This window comes from Homo sapiens, chromosome 1, assembly GCF_000001405.40.
Source record: "Homo sapiens chromosome 1, GRCh38.p14 Primary Assembly".
Lineage (NCBI taxonomy): Eukaryota > Metazoa > Chordata > Mammalia > Primates > Hominidae > Homo > Homo sapiens.
In genome coordinates, this window is record NC_000001.11 from 196,819,515 (window position 1) to 196,844,418 (window position 24,904).

At 32.8% G+C, this 24,904-nt stretch overlaps 1 protein-coding gene across 8 annotated transcripts; it reads left to right on the forward strand.

Moving 5' to 3' along the window:
- On the forward strand, positions 217 to 12,675 carry CFHR1 (complement factor H related 1). 8 transcript variants are annotated; one of them, NM_002113.3, is made up of 6 exons: positions 217 to 388; positions 5,963 to 6,157; positions 7,315 to 7,491; positions 8,556 to 8,732; positions 10,986 to 11,168; positions 12,283 to 12,675. In NM_002113.3, exons 1-6 carry the CDS (start codon positions 331 to 333, stop codon positions 12,483 to 12,485), a joined length of 993 nt encoding a protein of 330 aa, NP_002104.2. In that variant the 5' UTR covers positions 217 to 330; the 3' UTR covers positions 12,486 to 12,675. The 8 variants fall into 8 exon arrangements, with proteins under 8 accessions (NP_002104.2, NP_001366235.1, NP_001366236.1 ...); NM_001379306.1 differs by having other exon boundaries at positions 6,014 to 6,157; NM_001379307.1 differs by having other exon boundaries at positions 6,125 to 6,157.

Below are 24,904 nucleotides of genomic sequence, written 5' to 3' on the forward strand. Positions count from 1 at the left end.
CTTTCCTCTTCAATGGCCCATTTCTGAATATTCCAAACTCAGAGACTCAGGGACCACAACAAGGAAATTGAACAGCTTTTATTTTGCTCAAGTTAATATTACATGATAAACTCAGAGTATTATTGTGAAAACACTGATTAGACACTATTTGCTTATTTTGCACAACCCTCCATGAACTTTGATGTTTACCACAAAGGACTTTACTAAACTAGCTTCCAGTTAGTACACTGAAATTCAAAGTCATGCTCATAACTGTTAATGAAAGCAGATTCAAAGCAACACCACCACCACTGAAGTATTTTTAGTTATATAAGATTGGAACTACCAAGCATGTGGCTCCTGGTCAGTGTAATTCTAATCTCACGGATATCCTCTGTTGGGGGAGAAGGTAAGTTCAAAACAGACCTGAATATTTAGTTCCTTTTTCAGATACATTTATCGGTTTTTGTGTGTATGCTTACATATTTTTAAATGAATAAATGGATGAAAATATTTTAAATGAGTTATAATATTAATCTATTTTATGGAAATACTTTCTAACATGCAATTAGCAGGAAAATAGAATAAAATTAGTTCTCTCCATCCTCTAAGTTGCAAAGGTAAATGGCCACCAAATAGAGAATGTAAAGAGGAATTAAATGAGGGAAAACCTGCTATACTAACGGTGGCAAGGTGAAGTATTAGTGTAATTCTGCATACACTCTGCAATGCCACTAACTAGAACAATCAATCTCAAAAAGATTTGGCCACCTTCAAAATGCTTTTTGGATTTTAGTTTCCTAGATTTGATCATTTAAATTTTAAAGGTCATTAAAATGGAGGAATTCCCATTTCAATTGAATTATCCTTCAACAGAGGGAAATATATTTTACTGAAACAATAGAAAATATCATTTATATATAAACCAGTGAACTGTCAAGAAATTGCTTCTTCTGAGCTCTTAAATGTTGAGAATGAAGTAATGTATCACCTCTTTATTAATACTACAAACTGCTTCTTATGATATTTTATAAACGGTCCCATTTTATTTCATGTTGAAATTAAGGCCACCATATCAAAGGAATTGCAAACAAAATCTCTACCAAGGTCTAGGATACTAATTAAACTATGTCTGTACATGGAGTTTCGATCATTATGCTTTACCCTTTGATTTCCAAAAAGTTTTTACTTTACTGTTTGGCTGTTTCCTAATGTTTCCAGACCTTTGAACTTTTATTTGAACAGTTTCTCATCAGTCCTGACATAACAGAACAACATGAACAATAACATGCTTTCCTTTAAATATTTGCCCTTAGAAATGTTGCAAAATATTATTTCTATTGCTTGAAATTCATTTTTTTTTGAGATGGACTTTCACTCTTGTTTCCCAGGCTGGAGTGCAATGGTGTGATTTCGGCTCACCACAACTTCCATCTCCTGGGTTCAAGCAATTCTCCTGCGTCAGCCTCCCAAGTGGCTAGGATTACAGGCATGCACCACGACGCCTGGCTAATTTTGTATTTTTAGTAGAGATGGGGTTTCTCCATGTTGGTCAGGCTGGTCTCGAACTCCCGACCTCAGGTGATCTGCCCGCCTCGGCCTCCCACAGTGTTGGGATTGCAGGCATAAGCCACCACGCCTGGCCCTTGAAATTCGTTTTATTTTGTTTTCACTTTTAGTGCTGAGTTGTAATCACAGGAGTGTGATTGTATGAGTGTATTTGATTTTTCTTAAGTCTGTGTTTATGGTATTTATTAAGTGGCTTATACACCTATTACACATGGCATTACATGAGGATTTCTAAATAGGGGGGTAGCAGAGGAAAATAAGTGAAAAATATGAGAGAAATATGTAGAATTTTGACAATTCCTAACCCTCCTCCCACCAAAAAAAAGTTCAAGCTTCAATCCAGTCTCTGGGAGAAACTTCAGTGAAATTCTATCTAAAGGTTGCCTAGATGTTAAATGATCTGTAAGTGTGTGTTACACTGTCATTTAGGTGTCTACTGAGAGACCTGCCAAACAGCAAAAACAACACACTGAAGCAACACATTTGTATACATAGAAAGCTGCATGCTTCCAGTAGCAAAATATTTATCAAGCACTATGTTGTGCTTCATGTAGCAAAGAAGCTGGAAGAAAATGACAACCCTAACCACACCTCACTGCAACTTACAGTGTCCTAAAGAAAAGCAAAATGTAAATAGGCAAATAAATTGCAAGGCTATATATAGGTGACTGTGAGTGAGTGTGTGTGTGTGTGTGTGTGTGTGTGTATAAACAGTCATGCATCACTTAATGATAGGGACACTTTCTGAGAAGTGCGTCCTTAGGCGATTTCCTTCTTATTCAAACATTATAGAGTGGACTTACACAAACCTAGGTTTTATAGCCTACTAGGTAACTAGGCCATATGGTATAGCCTGTCGCTCCTAGGCTGCAAACCTGTACAGCATGTTACTGTACTGAATACTGTGGGCAACTGTAGCACAATTGTAAGTATATGTTTATCTCAATATAGAAAAGTACAATAAAAATACAGTATAAAATATTAAAAACGGCAGACTTGTATAGGGCTTTTACCATGAATAGGGTGTGCAGGACTGAAAGTTACTCTCAGTAAGTCATTACATGAGTGGTGAGTGAATGTGATGGCTTAGAACATCACCATACACTACTAGAGGTGGTATAAACACTGTATACTTAGGCTAAACTAATTTATTTTATTTATTTATTTACTTGAATAGTTTTGGGGGAGCAGGTGGTTTTTGGTTACATGGATAAGTTCTTCAGTGCTAATTACTGAGCTTTTGATGCACCCAGGATAGACTAAATTTATTTTAAACTTTTCTTCGATAATAAATTAACCTTAGTTTATGTTAACCTTTTTACTTCATCAACTTTAATTTTTGTGTCTTTCGAGATAATATTTAGCTTAAAAAACATTGTAGAGATGTACAAAAGATTTTTTCTTTCTGTTCTTGTGCTATAAGCTTTTATCTTTTAAATATTTTACTTATTTATTTACTTTTTAAACCTTTTTGTTAAAAACAGACACAAACACACACATTAACCTCGGCCTACAAAGAGTCAGGATCATCAGTATCACTGTCTTCTTCCCCCGCTCTTGTCCCACTGGAAGGTCTTCACGGCAGTAACAGGCATGGAGCTGTCCTCTCCTATGATAACAAAGGTTTCTTCTAGAATAGTTCCTGAAGGACCTGCCTCAGGAAACATTAACTGTTTTACAGTTAATTTTTTTAATCAATAGAAGAAGTTAACTATAAAATACTAATAACAATTATACTATATGAAATACATTAACCAGTAACACTTCTATATTATCATCATCAAGTATTACGTACTGTACAAAATTGTGTGTGGCATATTTTTATGTGACTGGCAATGCTGTAGGTTTGTTTACCCCCGGCATTGCCACAAATATGTGAGTAATATATTGCACTGCAATGTTACGATGGCTATTAGGTGATAGGAATTTTTCAGCTACACTATAATCTTATGGGTCCACTGTCATATAAGTGATCAGTCATTGACCAAAATGTCATTATGTGGTGAATAACTGTACGACTGTATATATATATATATATATGTGTGTGTGTGTGTGTGTGTGTGTGTGTGTGTATCCCAGAAGAAATGTATTCACAATATTCTATCAAAATATTGAGACAATAAAAATTATTTTCTACTTTTGAAATTGGTGGTTGTGTAAAGGAGGCTTGCAAGAAGACATTAACACTCCTAGCTAGCACCATTGCAGATATGCACAATGAATACTTGATGAATGTCATAGAATTCTTTCTGAAGCATAGGTACAATATAAATGGTTGATGAAAACCAAGTTATTCTGGATAGCAAAGAATATGTAGGTACAAATGTATGAAAATAAACTACTATAATTTTGGAGGAGTGAAGGATAATTGAAAGAGTTATGGTAGGTTAATACTATCAAGACGGGAGTCTTTCCCTCAACACCTTTACCAAAACTATCTAATGTCAAATTTTAAACAGTTAGATAATCAATTTCAGGTTTCACAAGGTGAAAATATTTCAAATATTGTGCAACATTAAACATTACTTCTAGATAGATGAAAAAGAGAAATTTCTCTTGATTTGTCAGCTTAATTTCTGCACACATCTTTCAAATAAGGTGAAAAATAAAATTATTTCTTATGCAGCAGTACTATATTGCAAAAATATCTTGACATAAAAACAAAGAGCAGTATTATATTGAGGAAATATCTTGAGCTAAATACGTACTCAAAGATAAAGCATATCAAACCCATAGAACGTACAACATCAAGAGTGAACCCCAACATAAACTATGAACTTTGGGTGGTAATTATATTGACAGTGAGGGAGCTTATGCATGTGGTAGGGAAGAGGAAGTGGTATATAGGAAATCTCTACCTTCCACTCAATCTTGCTGTGAAAAACCTGTAAATAAAGTATAAAGTCTAATAAAAAATATGTGTGTATATATATGTATGTGTACACAAAAAAAGAGTAAAAAGTATGAAGATTTCACCCATTTTCTACATTGTTTTAATATATCTTGCACCATAGTGTGTATGGATGTATTTATACATATATACAGTAGTCCTTTAGCATCCTCAAGGAATTGGTTCCAGGACGCTACCCACCCCCAGCAGATACCAAAATCCAAGGATACTCAAGTGTCTAAGAGAGAATGGTGTAGTATTTGTACATAACCTGTGCATATCCTCCCATACAATTTATTTTATTTTATTTTAATTTTTTTTGAGGTGGAGTCTTGCTCTGTCGCCCCCAGGCTCGAGTTTAGTGGCATGATCTCCGCTCACTGCAACCTCCCCCTCCTGGGTTCAAGTGATTCTTCTGCCTCAGCCTCCCAGGTAGCTGGGATCACAGGCGTGCACCACCACACCTGGCTAATTTTTGTATTTTTAGTAGAGATGGGGTTTCACCATGTTGGCCAGGCTGGTCTCAAATTCCTGACCTCAAGTGACCCACTCACCTCAGCCTCCCAAAGTGCTGGGATTACAGGCATGAGCTACCACACTCAGCCCTCTCATACAATTTAAGGAATCTCTAGAGTATTTATAATACCTAATACAATGTAAATGCTGTAAAAATAGTTGTTATATTGTATCTTTAATTGCATTATTTTTATTGTTTTATTATCTTTATTGTTTTTTTCAAATATTTTTGATCTGCAGTTGGTTGAATCAGACGAAGTGAAACGAGTGGGGCTGACTGTATATATATATATATATATATATATATATATATGTGCGTGTGTGTGTGTGTTCACAAGTATAAATATATAAATACAAATATACAAATACATATTTGTATATACAACATTAACCAGAATTTAGCTCTAACTTTATCTTGATTGAGTTGTTCTTAGTGATTTTCTTATATTCCCTAAATTATTTCCACTGAAACTATATTAACTTTGTAACCAGAAAATATTCAAAATGATATTAATAAACAAAAAACAAAACTACATATCCAACATCTTTACTGCACCAGAAAAAAAAATAGGACAGAGTTTCTGGCAGAGACACCTATGGCAGTCAATGAGAATAGAGAAAATAAGTAAATTGAGAGCTAAGAACAACCCTATCACTTTTCTACTGTATACTATGTAGATCAGGAAGATTTGCTACTCTTACACTCTGTCTTCATTCTTAAATTGTTGTGTGTGGGTTTTATTCTTGAAGACAATGCAGGAGAGTTCATATTTCATATCACTCCAAAATATAAATTTTATATTCATTAACAATTACCTCCTCAAATAGTCATGTACTCCTAGTTAGTGATGCTTTTCATTCCTAATTTGTACACTGGAAAGCATTTAAGCTAAAGGCATTTAAGCTAAATGAAAGAAAAACACTATAAGTGAGATGATTAAAATATAATCTAGTGATTTATTTATGTAACTTATTATGTAATTCTTCAGTTTTATGTTATTTTCCCAGCAACATTTTGTGATTTTCCAAAAATAAACCATGGAATTCTATATGATGAAGAAAAATATAAGCCATTTTCCCAGGTTCCTACAGGGGAAGTTTTCTATTACTCCTGTGAATATAATTTTGTGTCTCCTTCAAAATCATTTTGGACTCGCATAACATGCACAGAAGAAGGATGGTCACCAACACCAAAGTGTCTCAGTGAGTAAATGCTCTGTTCATTAAATGGATGTCATTCAGTGAATAGAGAAGGATATGCCAGACAAGATCATAAGGTCTTGATAATCACAGGGACAGTGACCAAAGAAGCTGGAAAGATGGGAGATGTAGTCCCCCTATTTTGAGATGCCTCCTATAAGAATCAATGAAGAATAAATATGTCAACTGTCTTGTGTTACCTGGAAATGCTCTACGTGTTGAAATATATTAATTTTTTTAAACTGATCTTTAATATATTTGACTGCTAATATTTCTTTACTAATATTCATTTCGCAGCAGCCTGATCAAAGTTTTCCTTTTAAATGTCATTTTTATACATATTCTGTTTTGAATTTACCATTCTTTAGCATATTGAAAGGAGGTTTAGCATTTTCACTTTTATATTTCAATAAATAATTTCTTTGGTCCTTCACAGTGTAGCTATATTAATTCTCCAATAAATGTAGAGAGCAGACTCCAATGATAACAGGTGTATTAAAAGAAAAAAAAATTGGGAGACAGATACATGAGGCAACAAAGGAGATAGCAATGATCTTTCTCCTAAGAAACATTTATGAGAGTTAAGAGAGAAATAGATATATGAAGAGGTTCTTTTGTCCCTAAAAGGTTGACAAACATAAAATATTTCATTATAAAAACCATAGAGCAAGAAAATGAAATATTTTCTTCTATATATACATATAAAAGAACCAAAAATATGTTTCATCATATATATAGTAGCATGAGTTAACTTCTTTTGAAAGTGTTTATATTTGATTTCAGCTTTGAAAGCTTTCCTTTTTAATTTTTTTTGTTCGTTTGTTTGTTTTGTTTTGTTTTTGAGCCATCTCAACTCACTGCTACCTCTGCCTTCTAGATTCAAGTGATTCTCCTGTCTCAGCCTCCAGAGTAGCTGGAATTATAAGTGCGCACCACTATGCCCGCTAATTTTTGTATTTTTACTAGAAACAGGGTTTCACCATGTTGGCCAGGCAGGTCTCGAACTCCTGGCCTCAAGTGATCCACTCGCCTCAGCCTCCCAAAGCGCAGAGATTACCAGAGTGAGCCACTTCACCCGGTTTATTAAAATATTTTAAAATGCAGTTGTACTTTTTCTTTGCTACTTCCATCTTGTACATTAATCCGTTTTTGGTCCTTAGGACTGTGTTTCTTTCCTTTTGTGGAAAATGGTCATTCTGAATCTTCAGGACAAACACATCTGGAAGGTGATACTGTGCAAATTATTTGCAACACAGGATACAGACTTCAAAACAATGAGAACAACATTTCATGTGTAGAACGGGGCTGGTCCACCCCTCCCAAATGCAGGTCCACTGGTAAGTACAATGCTGTTCTCTCATATGCTGTTATCTATTATAAAGTTTGAGAGAAATAAATCTTTTTTACAGGTTAAATATAGGTTTTGCCACATACTTTTATCTTTATTCATTTGATTTTCAGTTCCAATTGTGTCCAAGTGGATGTTGAATAACATAGTTTGCCTACCTATATAAATCAAATGTTCTCAAAGTGTGGTCGCTAAACCGGTAGCATCATCATCTCCTTGGAGATTGTTTGAAATGAAAATACAATTCCATAAGCTCATTCTAGACACACGGAATCAAAAATGTCGAAATAGAACCCTGAATCTGTTTTACCAACCCCTCCAGGGAATTCTATGCACACTTCTGTGTGAGAAGCATTGCTATAGTCTATTATCACTACACATGGACCTGAAACTCTCTGATGAATTTTGCATTGTTCAGCATAGTATCCTTAATCATTGGCAATTAAATTATCTGAAGTTATTTTTATTATTATAGACTTATTTTCTTTTATTTTTCCACATCTCCAATTTAGATCCTTTGATTAACCATTCTTCTTCTCTACTAACTTGGGTAATTTTCAAAATGTGTTTTTAAATCTTTGCTTATTCACTAAGAAAATGCCTATTTGTGTTTATTTTTAAGAGGCTAAAATGTATAAGCAGGATGATTGCAAACAAAAATCTGGTATCACATAATCTATTTATGCTGACTTTTTGCATTTTATAAATTAATGTTAAATAAATAGAACTGGTAATATTTGTTTACTCAAACTCAAAGAGAGATATCCAGGAAAACTTTCGTTTACACTGGCTTCCAGAAGGGAAAAATAAAGGTCTATCAGTGTTCTAGCGAAGGATGAAGAAGAAATTTAAAACATCAAAGCTTGTACCTGACAAAAAATAGTTTCATGTCTTTTCTTCAATATTACATTTAAATTTATTAAAATCAACAAAATATTTGATGAGATTGTCTACTTATTTTAAATTCGTCTTGAAACATATTTGTAACTGTATTAGTTGATTTGCTACTCAAAATGAACACTAGGTGGAACCACTTCTTTTTTTTCTACTCAGACACTTCCTGTGTGAATCCGCCCACAGTACAAAATGCTCATATACTGTCGAGACAGATGAGTAAATATCCATCTGGTGAGAGAGTACGTTATGAATGTAGGAGCCCTTATGAAATGTTTGGGGATGAAGAAGTGATGTGTTTAAATGGAAACTGGACAGAACCACCTCAATGCAAAGGTAGAGTATTATATTTCTTTTAACATTTTGGGGGAGTATAGCAGGGTTAAAATATGTTGATTTAAACAAAATGAAGTCATTTTTATTAATAGATTTTTCAAATGCAAATAAAATGATTGATGGTGCTTAAAATTCAATTCTTCCTGTGAACAGAACACAAGTAATAGGGTGTATTATTTTTGAGAAAGATTCGACCAAATTAAAAGAGTTGGAACCTGAAAAACAATACTTTTTAAGCATCACAACACTTAGTTCCTTCTCAGGAATACGTGTAATAAAAGATACATTATGTGCATTTGACAGCCATAAGTGATGTGCATTCTAAGATATGGAATAGGCAGTTGAAGAGAGATCATAGACTGTGATATAAATGTGGGCATCTTCAGTATATGGATTATATTTAAAGGTGTGTGACTGACTGTATTTATAAAAAGAAGTCCGAGCACATAGTCCTGGGTCATTCTAATAAATAGAGATGGAGTAAGGGAAACCAGAAAAGGAAATTGTATCTTACTTACCTTTATGTTTTAAAATTAATGTTGTCCTGTGTTTTTTTTTTTTTTTCACTATTTTACTTAGACTCTACCTATGTTTATTATTGAAGTGAGTTTTTGTAGACAGCATATAGTTGGGTCATGTTTACATATCCATTCATCCTTTCATGGCCTGTTAACTGGTGCACTTGGACCAATTACACTTAACATAATTATTGATATATAGGACTTAAACCTCTGTCATTTATTTGTTTCTGTCTGTTCCCTCTGGGTTTCAGTCCTATTTCCCTATTCCTCCATTCCCTGTAGGGAAAATTATTAAGGAGATTAATTTTGATTCATATGTATTGTTTTCCATTGTATCTCTTTGCATAGCTTTTCTTCTCCTTTTAAAAAGTTGTTGCTCTAGCTAATACTATATATATGTAATAATATATTACTGTCTACTGGCACTGACATTTAAATCAACAACTGGAATATGGAAAGCTTACTTTCATGTAGATCCATTTATACTCTCCACATTGTAAGTATAAATGCCAGTCGTATTTTCTCTGCATGCATTGAGCACCATATTAAACTCATTTGCTTCAAATATCAAACATAATTGAAAAAACTTATGAGGAAAAAGATATCGTGTTATATTGACTCCTCTTTTTATCCATTATATCGTTCTATTTTTTCAGGATCCTGAAGTCTCAAGCTCTTTCTTTTATCTGTTTTATTTTAATTTGAAGAATTCCTTTAGTTATCTTTAGGCATAGGTCTACTGGAGACAAATTCTCTTGGTTTCCCTTTCTCTGAGAATGTCTATATTTACCCCTTTACTTGTAAAAGATCGTGTCACTGGATATCAAATTTGGAGTTGACAGTTCTTTGAACACTTGAAAACTGTGCCACATGGTTATAGATGAAAAACTTACCATCATTTGAATTGTTGATCCCCTCAAGGAAAAGCATAGTTTTTGTCTAGTTGCTTTCAAGGTATTTTTTTCTTTTTTTAAAGTAGTTTTATTTTAATGTATATTGGTATAAATTCCAATGTTTTTATCCTCTTTGGAGTTCACTCAGCTTCTTAAATATAAGTTTATGCCTTATTGTCAAAATGGGAAGTTTTCAGGTATCCTTTTATTTATTCATTTTTCCAGCCCAATATCCTTTCTCTTCTTTTTCTGCATCTGCATTATTTGTTGTTGTATTTTTCTGAATGTCTCAGTTCAGTTTTTTGTTTTCAGTCTATTTTCAGAGTGGGTAATTTATATTGCTGTATGTTCAAGTTCATGGATTTATTTGTCTGTCAGCTCCCCATGTATTATTAAGTATATTCAGTGTTTTTAAAAAATTTTTATCATACTTTTCCATTTTATAATTCCTACGGGATTTTTAAGAACCATCATCAATTTCAAAACCCGTGTCCTCTTAGTGTTACTCCAAAGAATGTTGAATATGAAATAAGAAACTTTCTTTGTCATAGTTTTCTATGTTTAGCATGTATTCATTCGGAAAGATATTTCTTAATCCTGATCTACCATAAGCAGCAATATTTGTTAATGTTTTATGTGTTCCTTCAGTAAGGAGAAAAGAACTTAAATATATTACTTTCAGTTTAAAGGATTAAAATTTCTTCCAGGACTCATTTCTTTTACCAGAAATCACAAAACTGTTGATATTATATAAAGTGCTGTGTTTGTATTTGCCTTATTTGAACTTGTATTTTGATTTGCTCTCACAATAAATCAAGTGATGAAATGATGTTTTTTAGATTCTACGGGAAAATGTGGGCCCCCTCCACCTATTGACAATGGGGACATTACTTCATTCCCGTTGTCAGTATATGCTCCAGCTTCATCAGTTGAGTACCAATGCCAGAACTTGTATCAACTTGAGGGTAACAAGCGAATAACATGTAGAAATGGACAATGGTCAGAACCACCAAAATGCTTACGTAAGTACTTTAATATTCACGTGGCTGGAAAAATCAGTGTGATGAGTCTGATATTTTGCTGTTGGTAACAAAATAATCACAGATTATTGAACAACCATTCTGCTGAATGCCTGCCTACCAAAAATTTCTTTTAGAAAGTAAAGTTTAGAAATTTTCTCTTTAGGGCTGGGTGTGGTGGCTCACACCTGTAATCCCAGCACTTTGGGAGGCCGAGGCGGGCAGATCACGAGGTCAGGAGATTGAGACCATCCTGGCTAACATGGTGAAACCCCGTCTCTACTAAAAATACAGAATAATAATAATAACCGGCATGGTGACGGGCACCTGTAGTCCCAGCTAGTCGGGAGTCTGAGGCAGGAAAATGGCGGGAACCCGGGAGGCGGAGCTTGCAGTGAGCCGAGTTCGCGCCACTGCACTCCAGCCTGGGCGACAGAGCGAGACTCCGTCTCAATAAAAACAACACAAAAAAGTAATTTTTCTCTTTATATTTATATTTTATTTTAAAGAATTTAGTTGATAAATAAAAATATACTTTCATGTTTGACAATATGCTGTTTTGATATATTTATGCTACAATGATTACCACAAATTAATTAGCACATTCTTCATCACCTATGCTTAGCATTGGGTGTAGGTGGGTGTGTGAGTATGTGTGTGTGTGTTTGTGGTGAGGACACTTAAAATCTGCTTTCTTGCCAATTTTCAGATAAACAATACAATATTATTAGCTCTAAATATCACTAGATCTCTATGTTTGATTCCAAGTTCTTATTCATATTATAGCTGAAAGTTTGTACTCTTTGACCAATATCTTAATCAAACAAAAGCAGCAATGATAAGTTCTAAAATGCAGGGATCCTAAAATGACAACTGATGTAATGAATCATTGATAATACACCCCTAATTCTCATACATTAAACATAAAACCTCATTTTCACATCGATTACCATTTTAAGTTTATTTAAATCAATATGATGTTTTTACATAGTCGGTTTGGACAGTGTTTTGAGAAATAATTCCTGAACCATCATATAACATTCTACTTGAAAACCTGAAAGTCTATGAAGATTTGCATACTACTTAATGTTTTATGTTTACTGTTTTTTATTTTCAGATCCGTGTGTAATATCCCGAGAAATTATGGAAAATTATAACATAGCATTAAGGTGGACAGCCAAACAGAAGCTTTATTTGAGAACAGGTGAATCAGCTGAATTTGTGTGTAAACGGGGATATCGTCTTTCATCACGTTCTCACACATTGCGAACAACATGTTGGGATGGGAAACTGGAGTATCCAACTTGTGCAAAAAGATAGAATCAATCATAAAATGCACACCTTTATTCAGAACTTTAGTATTAAATCAGTTCTTAATTTCATTTTTAAGTATTGTTTTACTCCTTTTTATTCATACGTAAAATTTTGGATTAATTTGTGAAAATGTAATTATAAGCTGAGACCGGTGGCTCTCTTCTTAAAAGCACCATATTAAAACTTGGAAAACTAACTGTTGTGTCCAGTTCATAAAATGTTTGTGGCAAGAAATTAGATGCAATTTTTCAGACTTTATTTCTGTTCATCACTCTTAAATCTCTCAAAGCTTTCTCCACAGCTTCTGAGGCTCATTGTTTTACAGTAAACGGAAAACATATCATTGTCTCTGATTTCAAAATTATATCACTTTACAAAGATGTAAAAACCAAGTCAAGTCTTAATTCATGTTGGTAATGAGATATAAGTAATTACAATTTATCAATACATAAATGCACCAAAAATGATATCAATACATTAATGCACCAGAACTGATGAAATGTAGATACTTCTACAAGATGACAATCTAGCACACATGATAATGCAAACTAATCATAAGAATTAAAACGTAATTGGGTATATAAATATTACAACATAAACATACAAAAAATAAAAATACAGTATCAGTTATAACATGCTCACTTGCATGCACTCACTTGCAAACATAGAAACATGATACTTTTGCCCTGATTTAATGTTTATAGAAAAAATATTGCCAGGAAATTCAAAACTATAGTTAAATGTGTGTGTATATATATATATTTATATGTATGTGTATGTGTGTGTGTGTATGCGTGTGCGTGTGTGTGTGTGTGTTTAGAGATAGTCGGGGTAAAAGTTAGGGTTTAATTCTTTTGTATATATCGGTATCCTCTGATTTTTCTACCTTTAACATATATCACTTTGGAAACAAAAGTACAATTTATTTTAAAATAATGATGTCTAACAAGCAAGGCGGTGCATGTTGAGAATGATAAAGATTTCATCAGTAATGATCTTAACATCAAATAGCCTCTTAAGTATTTTTGGAGTAGAAGAGTTTTGGAAATTTCAATAGTAAGGTTCTGAAATGTAATTTTTATATTCATTCTTTTTAATCAGCACTAGTTAGGTAAAATCATTTTTGATTAGGAACATTTTAAACTCATAAAGGAGGTGAAGCCATTATGTGAAAAATAAAGATATCAATAATACAACACAAATATTATTTAATGATACCTTATTACTTCTTACCATATAAAATCAGGTGGCTTATATACTCAGGCTGTCTCCTTGTTAGTGATCCTGATTTAGATAAATTGCTTGAGTTGAGGAAAGCCAGATTTCAAAAATCTAAAGGACATTTGTTATAATTAGCAACTTATGTTGATAGAAATGTTAACACTTAGGAATATATGTTTATTCCTAAATTGTTTTAGTACATTTGGGCCACTATAAGAAATTACCATAAACTGGCTAGTTTATAAAAAATAGAAATTTATTTCATACAGTTTTAGAGGCTGAGATTTTCCAGCTTAAGATACCAACTGATTTGATGTCTTGTAAGGGCTTGCTCCCTGTTTTGGTGCCTTCCCACTATGGTGCCTTCCTACTATGTCCTTACAATGTGGAAGGGGCAAGGGAGTTCCATGACTCTTCTTTGTAAAAAGACTAATCCAATGTATTAGGGTGGAATCCTCATGACCTAATCACCTAAAAAGTCCTTACTTTCTGATATTATCACCATAGTGATGAGGATGTAACATACAAATTTTGAAAGGGTACTACTATGCACACCATAGCACAGCATAGGGATAAACAAATATGTTCCATGTAAATGGAAACCAAAAGCAAGCAGGGGGGCTATACTAACATTAACTAAAATTGAATTTCAAGTCAAATCTGTAAAAAGAAACAAGGAAGGCCATTATACAGTAATAAAGGAGTCAATTCACAAATAGATTATAACTATTGCAAATATATATGCACTCAACATGGGAGCAATGAAACTTATAAAGCAAGCATTAATACATCTAAAGGAAGAAATAAACAATGCAGTAATAGTAGGGGACTTCAATAACCCACATTCAACAATGGATAGACAGTCTATACAGAAATCAATAAAAACATTGGACTTGAGCTCTATGTTAGACCAAATGGACCTATCAGACCTATATAGAACATTCCATTTGACAACAGTAGAATAAACATTCTTCTCAAGCACACAAGGTATAATCTCCAATATAGATCATATGTTGGGCCACAAAACAAGTCTTAAAAAATTTTAAAAAGATTGAAATTACATAAATTTTTTTAACATTGTCATATGAAATTAGAAAACAATAGCAGAAGAAATGTTAGGAAATTCACAAATACATGGAAATTAAACAACATGATCCTGAACAACCAATGGGGCAATGAAGAAATTCAAAGGGAAATTTAAAAATATCTTGAGAAAAACAAAAATGGAAAAGCAACATACTAAAAAACATATGGTATGCAACAAAAGCAGTATAAAGGGATGTCTAGAGATATGAATGACTCCATGAAGATCCTAATAAAGCAAGTAACTTTGTATCTCAGGAAACTAGAAAATGAAGAAAAAAATTAACCCAAAGCTACTGGAAAGAAAAAAATAGTAAGGTACAGAACAGAAGTAAATAAAACAGACTGGAAAAATAATAGAGGATCCACAAAACTAGAAGTTGGCTTTTGAAAATATAAACAAGATTGACAAACCTTTAGCTGAACTAAAAAAGAGAGAAGGAACAAATAAAATTAGAAATGAAACAGGAAACATTGTAACTGATAGCACAGAAATACAAAAAAACAGAAGAGACCGCTATAAACAGTTATATGCCAACATATAACTGTTGGATAACCTAATAGAAACAGATACATTCATAGACATCTACAACCTACCATGATTACTGAAACATAATGAAATACAAAATTAATACAGAACAGTAATGAGTAAGAAAAATGAACAAGTAATAAAAAGTCTCTCATCAAAAACAAAACAAAACAAAAAAAAAACTCGTGGCTTCATGACAGATGGAATCCTACCAAACATTTAAAGAATCAATCCTAATCCTTCCCAAATTCTGTCAAAAATTTAAGAGTGAACTCTCAGTTTTATTATATGAGGGCAAAAATCGTACTGACACCAAAGCCACACATGGATACTAAAAAAAACAATTAGAGGTCAATATTCTTCATGAATATAGAGGTAAAAATGCTCAACAAAATACCTCCAAAGTGAACACAACACATTAAAAGAATCACTCGCCATAATGAAAGGGGATGTATATCTGGGATGTAAAGATAGTATACATACACCAATCAATTACTGTTCCACACCGAATTAAAAGAATGAAAAGCAAAAATTGTATATTCATCTCAATAGATACAGAAAAAGCATTTAACAAAATCAACATCCTTTCATGATAAAAAGTCTCAACAAATTAGCCATAAAAGAAATTACCCCAAGACAATAAAGGCTACATATCACAAGCTCACATTTAACATTATACTCAAGAGTGAAAAGTTGAAACATTTTTGTCTATGATCAGAAAAAAAAAAAAAAAACAAGGAGGCTCACTCTCACCACTTCTGTTCAACATAGTGCTGGAAATCCTGGCTAGAGCTATTAGGCATGGAAATTGGAAAAGAAGACAGTTGTCTCTGTTTGCAGATGACATGATCTCATTATATACATGGAAAACCCAAGGACTTCACCAAACTTTGCTAAAAGTAATAACCAATTCAGTAAAGTTGCAGGGTACAAGATCTACAGACAGAGCCAGTTACATTTCTATACACTAACAGCAAGCTATTGAAATAAGAAATTGAAAACAAACATCTAATTTACAATAGCATCAAAAATAATAAAATACTTGAGACTAAATCAAAGCAAGGAGATGAGAGTTCTGTACACTGAAAACTATAAAATATTGATGAAAGAATTGAAGAAAACACAAATAAATGAAAAGATGTCCTGTCTTCAAGGATCAAAAGAATCAATATTATAAAATTGTCTTCAATACCTAAAACTCCAGATTCCATGCAATATTGTCAATATTCTAAACACATCTTTCACAGAAATGGAAAAAAAATTCTAAAATTAATATAGAACAAGAGACACCAAATAGCTAAAGCAGTCTTACAAGACAAAAAAGGAAGAGACAGCACACTATCATGCTCTCTGGTTTCAAATTACACTACAAATCTATAATAATCAGAACAGTTTAGTCCTGATACAAAAAAGATACATAGAATTAAAAGCTCCGAAATAAAATCATGCATATATAAAGGCACTTCCAAATATTCATGGAAAATTGAATTAAAATAAGAAAATTTTAAAACTACACTTTATTTCTTAACATAAGCTCCATCAAGTTCAACACACTTTTGAAAACAGTGATACAAGCCATTTAGTCCATCCCTAAAGACTCGATGGTTCTGGGACTATATCCATGTTAAGCAGTCTTTTTCACATAATTAACTGAAACAATGGGTACCCTTTGTAAGATTTTTTAAAATTAGGCAAAATAAAGAAGTCAGGAGAAGGCAAACCAGGACTTTAATGTAGGAATGCTCAAAGATTTCCCATAAAAATTCTCACAAAATTGTTTTTGTCTGTTGAGAGGAATGAGCAGGAGCATTGTTCTGGTGGAGGAGGACTCTCTGATGAAGTTTTCCTGGGCATTTTTCTGCTAAAGCTTTGAAAACTTTCTCAAAACATTCTCTTAAGAAGCAAATGTTTCTCTTTGGCCTTCCAGAACTCAACTAGTAAAATGCCTTGGCCATCTCACAAACTGTTGCCATGATGTTTTCTCCTGACTGGCCTGCTTTTGCTTTCATCGGACCACTTCCACCTTTGGTATGCCATTGCTTTGATTATGTTTTGTATTCAGGATCATACTGATAAACTCATGTTTCAGCTCTTGTTACAAATCTTTGAAGAAATGTTTCAGGTTCTTATTCCCACTTGTTTAATACACTTTCCGTTAAAAACTATTCCCTTGCTGGCCGGGCGCCGTGGCTCACGCCTGTAATCCCAGCACTTTGGGAGGCCGAAGCGTGAGGATCACGAGGTCAGGAGATCGAGACTATCCTGGCTAACACGGTGAAACCCCGTCTCTACTAAAAATAAAAAAAAAATCTGCGGGCGAGGTGGTGGGCGCCTGTAGTCCCAGCTACTGGGGAGGCTGAGGCAGGAGAATGGCCTGAACCCGGCAGGCGGAGCTTCCAGTGAACTGAGATTGCCCCACAGCACTCCAGCCTGGGCAACGGAGCCAGACTCAGTCTCAAAAACAAAACACTCTTCTCTTGTCTACTACACCTCATCTGGGTGCAATGGTCTTGGGTCTCACTGAATGGAAATTTTGCTATAACATTGATTTTCCCATCAGAATTTGTAAGATGAACTAATTATGGTGTTGACTATTGATTCTGCTCTTAGTCATCAGTCGTCTTTAATCCAGATGTGAGCAAAATTATTTTTTTCTCACAAATTAGTGTGGCTAGTCTGCCGCTGTGGGCTTCATCCTTAACATTGTCTTGCCTCTGCCTAAAATGAGTTATCTGTTTCTAAATGGCTGATTTCTTTTGGGGTGTTGTCCCCATAAATTTTTCAATAATTTCACTGAAGCTCCATGACAAGTGTTGGTTAGGATGTGGAAAAAAGGAAACACTTGTACATTATGGGTGGGAATGTAGATTGTTACAGCCATTGTAGAAAACTATATGGAGGTTCCTCAAAATATTAAACATAGAACTATCGTATGACTCAGCAATTCCACTTCTGGGTGTATAAACAAAGAAAACAAAATCAGTATGTCTAAGAAATATCTGCACTCTCATGTTTTTTGCAGGATTGTTCACAATAGCTATGATATGGAAACAACTTATGTTTCTGTCAAAGATGATTGAATAAAGAAAATGTGGTGCATATATACAGTGGAATACATTAAATTCTGCCTTTAAAAAGAAGGCAAATCTGTCTTTTTTAACAACATTGATAAACATGGCAGATATTAAGTAAGTGAAGTAAACCAGACACAGAAAGACAAATGCTGCATGATGTCATTTATATTTGGAATCTAAAAAACACCTGAGCTCATAGATATGGAGAGTAGAAGTATAGTTACCAGGGGTTGCACAGTGGGAGAAATAGAGAGATGTCAGTCAGAGGATACAAGTTTTAAGACAAATAATTTCTGGAGACCTAGTGTAAAGCATGATGACTATAGTTATTAATAATATATTATATATTTGAAATTACAAAGACAATAGTTCTTAAGTGTTCTGATGTCATTCATACAAAAGGTAACAAGGTGAGATATTGGATATTTGATTAGCTTCATTATGATAATCATTATAAAATGTTATGTATATCAAAATAATATGTTGTATAACGTGAATATAAAAATTTGTATTTGCCAATGATACTTTTATAGGGGTGAAAAAATTGATTACATTAATCAGTAAAAATGGAAGTTAATGGACCAAAATATTACTTCTAGGTTTTGAAATATAAATATGTCTTTTTGTAAAAACAGAAAGGTTTTTTGTTTGTTGTAGTTGTTTGTATCACCTTGGAGTCGTGTATTTTGATTTATTCAATCTGGATATCTCTGGAAACTGGCTCCTCATTGCTTCTCATGTGCCCTAATTTTATCTGAGTATTTCTCTCTTTTTTTTTCAGCATAACATGTTCTAAGTTCACTTTATATTTCCTCTGCCCAACATTCAAAATCATACACCTTTCCTAGAAAGTCTGATTATTTTTAAAGCAGAATAAAATTTAGAACTCAAGAACCATGAAGTATTGGTAATAGATGGGAATGTCCAATACTTTGGAAATATAATTATTTTCAGGGATTTTTGGTGGTAAAATCTTTGAAATATAAATAAAATATAAAAGTTTGTTGTTCTCACTGGATTTTACAATTCAAATTTAATAATACATCTGTGAAAACAACTTTAGTATATACATGTTTTCATTTTTGTGAGTATATGGTACGTCTATGTATGTATGAGGTACATAAAATATTTTGATACAGGCATACAAGGTGTAATAATCACATCAGGGTAAATGAGGTATTCATCATCTCTAGCATTTATACTTTCTTTGTGTTACAAACAATCCAATTATCCCTCTTATTTTAAAATGTGCAATAAATTACTTTTGACTATAGTCACCCTGTTGTGCTATCAAATACTAGATCTTATTTATTCTATCTAACTATATGTTTATGCTCATTAAATATATTCTTCTCTCATTTGTCTTTACTGACTCATTCATGAAAATGTCAAAAGTGTAATGAAACGTTGCTATTAGTAGTTAAACTACTAAGTGAAAATTAAAATTTCTTTGTGTTTATTTTGCCCCTAGATAGCTGACTCTGAGTGCGAATCTTCTTTTCAAAAATGATTTAAATACTTCTTATCTCTGGTTCACCCTATTACCGAATCCATAGAGTTGTATATTAATTTTCACTTGTTTTCTTCATTCTTAGATTTTGCTTTTTTCATTCTTATATACTAACAATAAACTGTCTGAAAAAGAAATTTAAAGATCTATTCCTTTTCTGATAACACCAAAAAATAAAATTAGGAGTAAATTTAACCAAGGATCTCAAAAATCTATATATTTTAAACAATACAATATTGATGAAACAAATTGAAGAAGACACACATAAACAGAAAAATAGCCCATGTTCAGGGACTGCAAGATTTAATATGGGTAAAATGTTCATATTACACAAAAAGATGTAAGGATTCAATGCAGTCCCCATCAAAATTCTAATGTCATTTTTCACAGAAAAATGAAAAACAGTTCAAAAATATGTATGAAATGACAAGAGATCCCGAAGGTCAAAGTAATTTTGATTAAAAAGAACAAAGCTGGAGGCATTACACTTCTAAATTTTGAATTATGATATAATGCTATTATAGGCAAGATAGCATGACATTGGCATAAAACAAGACACCAATAAAACAGAATAGAATTCAATATATTTTCAATAAAGATGACAAGAACTCACATAGGGAAAATAATAGTCTCTTCAATACATCTTGCTGGGAAAATCGGATATTCACACATAGAAGAATGTAATTGATCCGCTGTTTCACACTACATAAAACTACTCAGAATATATGTAAGACTGACATGTAAAGCTTGAAACTATAAAACTGCTAGAGGAAAATAAAAGAGAAAAAAATACATGACATTGGTCTGGGCTATGATTTCTTGGATTGGTTCCCCAAGCATAGGCAACAAAAGGAAAAATACACACATTGTATTACATCAAACTAAAAAGCTTCTGCACAGCAAAGTAAACAATGCCCAGAGTGAAGAGACAACTCATGAGTTGGAAAAATATTTGCAAGCCATATATCTGATAAAGCGTTAATATTCAAAATATATAAGGAACTCAACTCAATGGCTAATAAAAAGGAATTAACCAATTTAAAAATAGGCAATGTACCTGAATGGACATTTCTCAAAAGAAGACGTACCAATGGCCAACAAGTATTATTATCAACAATACAAAAAATCATCAAGTGTTATCAAACATGTGGAGAAAAGGACACACTTGCACATTGTTGATGGAAATGTATATTAGTATAGCCATTATGGAAGATACTATAGAGTTTGTCAAAAATGAAAAGCAGAACATATAATCAATCCAGTAATCCTACTACTGAATATATGTACAAAGAAAAAGGAATCAGTATGTCAAAGAGTTATCTGCATTCCCATGTTCATTACAGCATTATTTATAATAGCCAAAATGTGGAATCAACTTAAGTATCCATTACAGATGAATAGATAAAGAAAATGTGGTCTATATACACAACGTAATACTATTCAGCTTTGAAAAAAGGAAATCCTGCATTTTCAAGAACATAGAATAAACAGGGAGGACATTAAGTTAGGTGGAATAAGACAGACAAAACCACATGATTGCACTTATACGTGCAATCCGTTGTAAAATATGGTGACTTTAGTTAACAATAATATGTTGTATTCTTGAAAACTACTTAGTGTAGATTTTAAGCAGTCTCACCACACACAAAAATGAGAAGTATGTGAAGTAAAGCATATATTTATTAGCTTAATTTAGCCATTATCTAATGTATACATATTTCAACACAATATGTTTTACATAATAAATATATGCAATTTTATTTGCCAATAAAAAATAAATGAAAATGTTTACAAAAAGAGAATATGTGGTATAGATACACAGTAGAATACTATACAAACTAAAAAGAAGACAATTTTGTCAATAGGGAAAACGTGGATGAATCTAGTGGACATTATGCTATCTAAAATAAAGTCAACACAAAGAAAAATCCTGCATGATCTTATTGATATGTGGAATCTAAAAAATTCAAATTTACAGAAGGTGAGAGTAGAGTGGTGGTTACCAGAAGCTGAAGGGATGGCGGTGTTTCTAGGAGGTGTTGGTCAAAGGGTATAAATTTTCAGTTAGACTAGAGGAATACATTTTACTATCTATTTCACAGCATGGTGTTCACACTTAATAATAATAATAGTGATAATATTATATATTTCAATATTGCTGAGTACATATATTCTATTTAATATATTTAAGCCTAGCCTTTCTAACTACTACAGAAAGAGAAGCTAAATGTCTGTTGTAAGTATGCTTATCTTACAAAAAATAAGTTCATTTGATATTCATGTAATAAATCTAATCTTTGTTTTATTGATTTTCAGATTAACAAAGACCTTATCTGAATACTCTTTACAACTTTTATGTAAATCTAAAATTATTCCATAGGAGAAATTTTATGTAAAAAAAGATAAAAGTATGAAGCATGTTTCAGTTTGGGTATTTCACTTTGTATTCACTGAATATTGAAAAAATTAAAATACTATCAACTAATACATAAAGTCATATAAACTCCTAAATAACCGCTGAGGAACCTACTTACTTTTGTGTGTCATTTTGGATAGTCAAGGTTTTTTGCTATGCTATACTTTAAAAAGTAATTAATGAAGGGGCTGACTCTTTTTTTGTTAATAGCACACTTAACAATATTAGTGGATTCCTGGTGTTCTTCACTAAGGTCCTTGGTCAGTAATTTCTGATTATATTTTATGCAAAGAACTTTGAAAACACCTTGTGCTGTATTTTAAAGTTTATTATCATCCATATTTCTGACCAATCACAGATGTTGCAAAAGGTTGGGACACTTGGAAAAATAAAATTATTTTCAAAAATATTTATTTCTCCTTTTTATAGAATTTCAAAATCAACCATCTTTAAAATACTAACAATAGTTTTAAAAATTACAATACTTTTATAAAGTTTTTACGAACACTACTTACAGATAGAGTAAAATTTCATTATAACTGAAAATGTTTTCAGTAACCTGTTATACTTGGCTAAGTGTCATTATTCAACTGAAATTCCACCTCTCTTCAACATTTACGTATATATTTTCCTGAAGATTTTTGTCTTATGTTTTGCAGTTATTTTAAAGTTATGGAGGAGGTTTTGCTTATTTTACTATATTTACTATATGGTTTGTCTTTAGCATTATTGATAGATCTTTTTCTTCTAAATATGGGCCGTATTTTCTGCTTCTTTACATATCTAGTAGTGTTTTATTCTACTCTGGTCAATGCCAATAACACATTGTGATGACAGCCATGGAATATAAAAGTTACCTATGGGTTTGTCATATATGCTATTTATGGTATTGGGGTACTTTTCTTCTATACATATGTTTTTAAATTTTCATGTGCACATCATAGGTGTACAGTAGGTGTATGTATTGATGGAGTACTTAGAATGTTTTGATACAGGCATACAATGTGAAATAAGCACATCATGGGGAATGGGGTATACATGCCCTCAAGTATCTTTCCTTTGAGTTCCAACCATCCAATAATACTGTATAAGTTATTTTAAAATGTACAAGTAAGTTATCATTGACTATAGCCAACCGATTGTGCTGTCAAATAGATGGACTTATTTATTTTTTCTATTTTTTTTTCGTACACATTGACCATCCCCATCTCCCCTCTAGCCCTATACCACCCTTCACAGTCTCTAGTAACCATCCTTCAACTTTCTATGTCCAAGAGTTCAATTGTTTTGATTTTTAGATGCCACAGATAAGTGAGAACATGTGAGGTTTGTATTTCTGTGCCTGGCTAATTCCACTTAAAATAATGATCTCCAGTTCCATCCATGTTGTTGCAAATGATTGGATCTCATTCTTTATTATGGCAAAGTAGTACTCCATTGTGTATGTGTGCCACATTTTATTTATTCATTCATCTGTTGATGGACACTTTGGTGGCTTCCAAATCGTAGCTATTGTATACAGTGAGGCAACAAACATAGGTGTGCAGATATCGCTTCCATACACTGATTTCCATACACTGCTGATGTATACACAGCATTAGGATGGCTGGATCATAAGGTAGCTCAATTTTTAGTTTTCTAAGAAACCTCCAAACTGTTCTCCATAGTGGTTGTATTAATTTACATTCCCACCAACAGTGTACAAGATTTCCCTATTCTCCACATCCTCATTAGCATCTGTTATTTTCTCTCTTTTCCATATAAGCCATTTTCACTGGAGTGAGATGATATCTCACTGTAGTTCTGATTTGCATTTCTCTGATGATCAGTTATGTTGATCATCTTTTCACATGTCTGTTTTCCATTTGAATGTATCCTTTTAAGAAATCTATATTCAGATCTTTTGCCCTTTTTTGATCTGATTATTAGATGATTTCTGATAGAGTTGTTTGAGCTCTTTAATTATTCTGGTTATTAATCCCTTGTCAGATGGGTAGTTTGCAATATTTTGTCCCACTCAGTGTTATTTCTTCACTTTGTTCATTGTGTCCTTTGCTGTGCAGAACATTTTTAACTTGATGTGATCTCATTTGTCCATTTCTGCTTTGCTTGCCTGTGCTTGTGAGTTATTGCTGAAGAAATTTTTGCCCAGAACAAAGTCCTTGAGATTTTCCCCAATGTTTTCTGGTAGAAGTTTCATAGTTTGAGGTCTTAGACTTAAGTCTTTATCCATTTGATTTGATTTTTGGATATGGTGAAACATAGAGGTCTAGTTTCATTCTTCTGCATATGAAAATCCAGTTTTCCTAGAACTGTTAATTGCAGAGACTCTTTTCCACAGCGTTCCTTTGTCAAAAATGCATTCACTGTAGATGTGTAAATTTGTTTCTGTGTTTTCTATTCTGTTCCATTAGACTGTATGTCTGTTTTTATGCCAGTACTATCCTGTTTTAGTTACTACAACTCTGTAGTATAATTTGAAGTCAGGTAATGTTATTCCTTCAGTTTTGTTTTTATTGCTTAGGATAGCTTTAGCTATTTTTGGTACCTTTAGCTTTTGTGGTACCATAAAAATTTTAGGATTGTTTTTCT

Excerpts from the sequence above, each read along its gene's own strand:
- CFHR1 (NM_002113.3), top strand. The coding sequence starts at position 331 with ATGTGGCTCCTGGTCAGTGTAATTCTAATCTCACGGATATCCTCTGTT. Across the intron at positions 389-5,962 it reads ATCCTCTGTTGGGGGAGAAG|CAACATTTTGTGATTTTCCA; the intron begins GTAAGTTCAAAA and ends TTATTTTCCCAG. Across the intron at positions 11,169-12,282 it reads AGAACCACCAAAATGCTTAC|ATCCGTGTGTAATATCCCGA; the intron begins GTAAGTACTTTA and ends TTTTATTTTCAG.